Raw genomic sequence first — 6,000 nt, 5'->3', positions numbered from 1 at the left:
GAGGGTGAGGTGGCCTCAGGGTCGTGTGGGGCAGGGAGCCCGGGGTGTCGGGGCGCAGGAGGGTGAGGTGGCCTCAGGGCTGTGTGGGACAAGGATCCCGGGGTGTCGGGGTATGGGAGGGTGAAGTAGCTTCAACTTTCCATTAAGCTGCTGGCATCAGCTCCCCACACTGGGAGCGGGCTTAGGGAACCCCAAGCCTGGTGTGCAGCGTTTCGTTATCAGGTGAATCAGAACCGCTGGCTCCAGAGCTTGAGCCCCAGCCCCACTGGCAAATGGCCTCCCCCTGCCCACCTGGGGACTCTGGAAGCTTAGCTGAGTCCACGCAATTCACTTATACTGGATCTTGCAAGGACAAGGAAGTGTTTTATTTATTTACAACAAAAACATTTGTAACATAATTCTGTCTTCAAAACAGAGAACCCTACAAAATACACAAAGCAATCTCTATTGGTGTTGACTCAGGGACATTCGCAGCCGGAAGCAGGGCTGGGACTGGGAGGGAAGCCAAGGACTAATTCCGTCTAAAAAAACAAGAAACTGCCTTAAAAAAAGTAGCAGTGTTCTACTTGTCAGTAGCTGCGCTTTCCCCTCCCTTCTGTTACGAACACGGAAAACAGAAAACAGCACCTGTGAAAACACGTTTCAGCCGCGTCCATGAGAGATGCGGCCACAGGACATTCCAGCCCCTGCTCCTGGAAGGTGGCTGCCACGGCTGCGCTGGGAGCTCCCTTCCACTCCCCCAATGATGGAGAACCACAGCTCTCTCCCCTCGTTGGTAGGTGAAGAACCTGGGAATCAAACAGCCATTAAAAACATCTCAGGACTCAGCAGCTGCCACACGACGTCACAGTCACATGTGCTGAGGGCTAGCAGCTGAGGTCAGGGAAGGGCATGGCCGGTGACCACACAGGAGCCAAGAGACAGATGCCATCACCGTGTGGCCCTACTAGATGGGCTCTGGGAAACTTTTTTTTTTTTTTTTGAGACAGAGCCTTACTCTGTCACCCAGCTGGAGTGCAGTAGCACAGGCTCTGCTCACTGCAACCTCTGCCTCCCGGGTTCAAGTGATTCTCCTGCTTCAGCCTCCTGAGTAGCTGGGATTACAGGCACGCACCACCACGCCTGGATACTTTTTTTTGCATTTTTAGTAGAGACAGGATTTCGTCATGTTGGCCAGGCTGGTCTCGAATTCCTGACCTCAAGTGATCTGCCTGCCTCGGCCTCTCAAAGTGCTGGGATTACAGGCGTGAGCTACCCTTTCCCTTCTCTTTCCTCCCTACCCCAATACAACCAAAGGAGCCAGCACCTGAGAGAGGGAAGAGGAGGTGGGGTGTCAGGAACAGACCCCTTTCCAGTCAGACTTCCAGAACCACAGGCAACGGGACAGAAGTAAGTAAAGACTGAGGTGGTGCCAGGCGCATTGGCTCACACCTGTAATCAAAGCAGTTTGGGAGGCTGAGGCGGGCGGATCACTTGACATCAGTAGTTCGAGACCAGCCTAGCCAACATGATTAAACCCCATCTCTACTAAAAATACAAAAATTAGCCAGGCGTGGTGGCTGGTGCCTGTAATCCCAGCTACTTGGGAGACTAAGGCAAGGAGAATTGCTTATACCCGGGAGGCAGAGGTTGCAGTGAGCCAAGATCGCCTGAGTGACAGAGTGAGACTCCGTCTCAAAAAAAAAAAAAAAAAAAAAAACCAAACCAAACAAAAACAAACAAACATTTCCATAACATGATAAGAAAAAAATACAGCTCAGCCAAAGTCAGCATGGTGTTTAACGGTGGAGCGAGCAGCAGCTCCATTACGGTCATGAGGCACACCCATCGCTACTGTTCTAGAAGCATGCACCGCACCATCAGGCTCTGAATAAGACATGAGAGGAGGGCCAGGCACAGTGGCTCATGCCTGTAATCCCAGCACTTTGGGAGGCCAAGCTGGGGGGGATCACCTGAGGTCAGGAGTTCAAAATCAGCCTGGCCAACATGGTGAAACCTCGTTTCTACTAAAAATACAAAAATTAGCTGGGCGTGGTGGCAGGCACCTGTAATCCCAGCTACTCGGGAGGCTGAGGCAGGAGAATCGCTTGAACCCAGGAGGCAGAGGTTGCAGTGAGCCGAGATCACGCCACTGTACTCCAGCCTGGGTGACAAGAGTGAAACTCTGTCTTGTGAGGGGAAACAAAAAAGATACAAGAGGAGAAGACAAAATGACCATTACCGGCATATGGTATCACATACCTGATGCATGCAGTGAAACTGCTGATAGAACTCACAGAATTAATGACAGAGTTATCAAAAATAACTTAAAAACATCAGAAAGGTGTTTGGTTATAGAGAAACAATTAGGCAATTTACAGAAAGGCCACCTCAGTCTGGAAACATGTGAACAGAGACCTGGTCAGGGAACTGCTAATGCTAGTAATGAGATCCTATTTGAGATACACCAACCTGGCAAATATTAAAAAGTCTAGCAATCCAAATGATGGCAAAGCGACGGAATGGAATCTCTCAGACACTACCAAGAACAAACTGGTACAGCCACTGGAGAGGTCAGTTTAGCATGACCTAGTTCAGGCAAAGACACACCCATCACAACCAGTGATAGGACTTTGACTGTCACAGGAAAGTCAGGCGTGAGGATAGCTCCATGACCATGTTTCTGTGTGTCTATCTAATCTCTACCTACCTACCTGCCTACTAATCACTGTGAAAACCATTTCCATATCCTGACAGGATGGAATGCTATCCAGCCACTTCTTAAAAACGACGTAGTTCTCTTTGTGTTAACTTAGAAAACACTCAAAATGCAATAAAAATATATTCTAGTACAAAATGTATAATTCTTTTTGTGGACAAGTTACATATACACTCACTTTTTTTTTTTTTTTTTTTTTTTTTTTGAGACAGAGTCTTGCTCTGTCGCCCAGGCTGGAGTGCAGTGGCACGATCTCTGCTGTCTGCAAGCTCCGCCTCCCGGGTTCAAGCCACTTCCTTGCCTCAGCCTCCCGAGAAGCTGGGACCACAGGCGCCCGCTACCACACTCAGCTAATTTTTTGTATTTTTAGTAGAGACGGAGTTTCACTGTGTTAGCCAGGATGGTCTCGATCTCCTGACCTCGTGATCTGCCTGCTTCGGCCTCCCAAAGTACTGGGATTACAGGTGTGAGCCATCGCACCCGGCTGGCATGTGGCATTTTTATAATTCAAAATTAAGTACTACCAAAAAATTGGAGAGTGGGTACAGGAACAGCAGAAAGATGTTCACTGTCAAGCCTGGGTAATGATACATGGGTAGTGATCATGTTATCATTTTTTTTTTTTTACCTTTGGAGACGTTTGAAAATGTCCATAATGACAAGTTTAATAATAATCAAGTGAAAAAAGAAAGTTTTGATCTAGGGTGTGTCCCATGAAATGACTTTAGGAATAAGCCCTAAAATCAATATTCTCCAGGCATGAATGCAGATGGGGGGAGATCAACTTCAAGCTCCCTACAGACGAAGGGATCCCACGAGGTTCAGGTAGTTGAATTTTCAAATCGGAGCCAATAAAAAGTAACACTTTAGCATAAACGAGAATGCGCCAACATAGGAAAGCTCAGCTCACATTTCATTTTGAAAACCCAATACATGTATCGCACAGAGGTGCAAAGTCAGAAAAAAGCTGTATCCGTGGCTCAAGGAGAAATAAGTCCGGAGATCGACAAAGACAATGGCAGTCAGGCTGAGGCAGCGAACACAGACAAAGGTCCACAGCCGACTCCAGCTGAATCCATTCCTACGAACCAGGCTGCTTCCACGGCGGGTGGGCCCCAGGCCTCGGAAAAGGCACAGGGACTGTGAACTAGAAACCCAAGCAGCAATGCCAGTGGTGTCCACCATAATCGCACAACATAATAAGCAGTAATCAAAGAAGGGTGTGAAATGTAACAGAGAAGACAGAGGAGTGATGTAATCGCGGAGCCACGGGCTGGAGGCTGTAGAGCCCAGGATGTTTCTGTCGGAAATCGGAGGACAAAGAGCTGAGGATCAAGGCTCAGCAGGTGCCGTTCCCACGGTGGCGGTGGGTGTCGTGTGCCAGCCCTGCCTCGCAGCCCCAGCCTCAAGCACTTCCCTGTACCCTGCAACGGGGAACTAGAGTAAACTCAGCCATGAACATCATCTGGTGAGAAGACCCTGGAACCCTGCATGGGTCACTCAGCCCTTCAAAAACACTGATCAAAGTTATGGCTGCCTCTTCAAAATCCCAGCAGATGAACCAAGGCTGTACATAGTAAACGTGGAGAATGAAAGACCTTCCTGAAACCATTCAACTGGTTCCCCTTCCCAAAATGCATTACTCAGCCAATCTTAAGAACCTAATCTGGATATCTCCAAAAATATCAACTGAGGGGGAAAATTTTTTGAGGAGTCCTCACCCCTTGGGACTCTGCTGTGACACTCTGGCCAGCCCGCAAGGCGGCAGTCCTCCGGCCTGCTGGGTCCTCCACCTGCCCCTTCCACTCCTGCCAGGCGGCTTCTCAGAGCCAACCCTCATTGCAGGGACTCCCTGACCTGCTTCTCCCCACCCAACCTGTGGCCCTGGCTCTCTGGCGGCCACTCCATGCTGACTGCTGCACTTCCTGCAGCCACCCTCGTGCTCCACCAGCCCAGCTCTCTGCTCCTCCCTTGGCCACGTCCCTCTGCAGGGAGTGCGATTACTTCCCCACTGTCACAACTGGCCACCTAGTCCCATGAGAATGCGCATGGAGCTGAGTGGTCTGGAGCCCACCCTTTCCAGGCTGACATGGAATGAGAGCGCCTGCAGGTACCTCCCGGTTTTGGGGGTGGGCCAGGCCTCACAGCATGGCTCTGCTGCACTTCCTCCAACAACTGCAGCTCACCACCACCAGCTGCCACTGTGCTGTGATACATGGTCAAAGAAGGGTCAAAGTGCCATCCAAACTGCCACGCTTGTTTAAAAACAAGGTTTAGGGAGGCCAAGGCAGGAGGATCACTTTAGGCCAGGAGTCTGAGACCAGCCTGGCCTACATGGTAAAACCTCGTCTCTACTAAAAATAACAAAAATAAGCCGGGCGTGGTGGCGCACGCCTGTAATCCCAGCTACTGGGGAGGCTGAGGCAGAAGAATTGCTTGAACCTGGGAAGCAGAGGTTGCAGTGAGCTGAGGTCGTGCCACTGTGCTCCAGGCTGGGCAATAGAGCGAGACTTTGCCTCAAAAAAAAAAAAAAGAAGAAAAAAAGAAATACTGTGATAATTACCAAAATGTAAATCAGAGAAATAAATTCAGCACATGCTGTTGGAAAAATGGCACCAACGGACTTGCTTGATGTGGGGTTGTAGCAAACCTAGCATTTGTTAACAATGTAAACAGTACAGCAACCCTCAAGTGCAGTAAACAAACAGCAGAAAGATGAGGTGAGCTGTGTCCATCAGGCCCCAGCCACCAGAAGGGAGCACGAGAAAGGAAATGTTCTGAAAGACGGCTGTCAGGATGATCTCATCTGGGACGGAAAGGATTAAGCCGAGAATGCTGAGGATGCAGAGTGCTGAGTTATCTCTGCATTGGCAAGATGTGTAGTCCCTCACAGATGCTGATCTGTAACAGAGTATGAGAGATGGGAAAATGCCCCCCAAGATATCCTTGTTCCAATTCCCGGAACCCACGAATACATTACCATACATGGCAGAAGGGATTCTGTGGTTAAATGAAGGATCTTGAGCTGGGCGATTATCTTGGTCAGCCCAATGTAATCAGATCCTCGTAAAAGGGAGGCAGGAGGGTCAGAAAAAGGAGGAGACAAAATGACAGAAGCAGAGGGGAGAGAGGGGCTGAATGAGAGATTCACAGAGAGGGTGAGAGAGAGGGAGAGACAGAAAGGGAGAGAGGGAGAAATATTGGAAGATATCATGCCGCTGTCTTTGAAGAAGAGGAAGGGGCCACTAGCCAAGAAATGCAGGCAGCCTCTCTAGGCCATTTCTTGGAGAAGCAAAAGGAAG

General features: G+C 49.5%; 1 protein-coding gene across 6 annotated transcripts in view; it reads right to left on the bottom strand.

The window, feature by feature from the left end:
- The window catches only part of FKBP6 (FKBP prolyl isomerase family member 6 (inactive)), a 30,465-nt gene continuing 24,808 nt past the window's right edge, over nucleotides 344-6,000 (bottom strand). For all 6 annotated transcript variants that reach the window (NM_003602.5, XM_047420984.1, XM_047420985.1 and 3 more), the window contains one exon: nucleotides 344-788. The gene's annotated coding sequence lies outside the window, so the exon portion shown is untranslated. The remainder of the gene's footprint in view (nucleotides 789-6,000) is intronic.

The sequence above is a fragment of the Homo sapiens genome, chromosome 7, assembly GCF_000001405.40.
Source record: "Homo sapiens chromosome 7, GRCh38.p14 Primary Assembly".
Taxonomy (NCBI): domain Eukaryota; kingdom Metazoa; phylum Chordata; class Mammalia; order Primates; family Hominidae; genus Homo; species Homo sapiens.
Note: the sequence above shows the minus strand (reverse complement) of the source record. Positions and strands in the feature narration are given on the sequence as shown.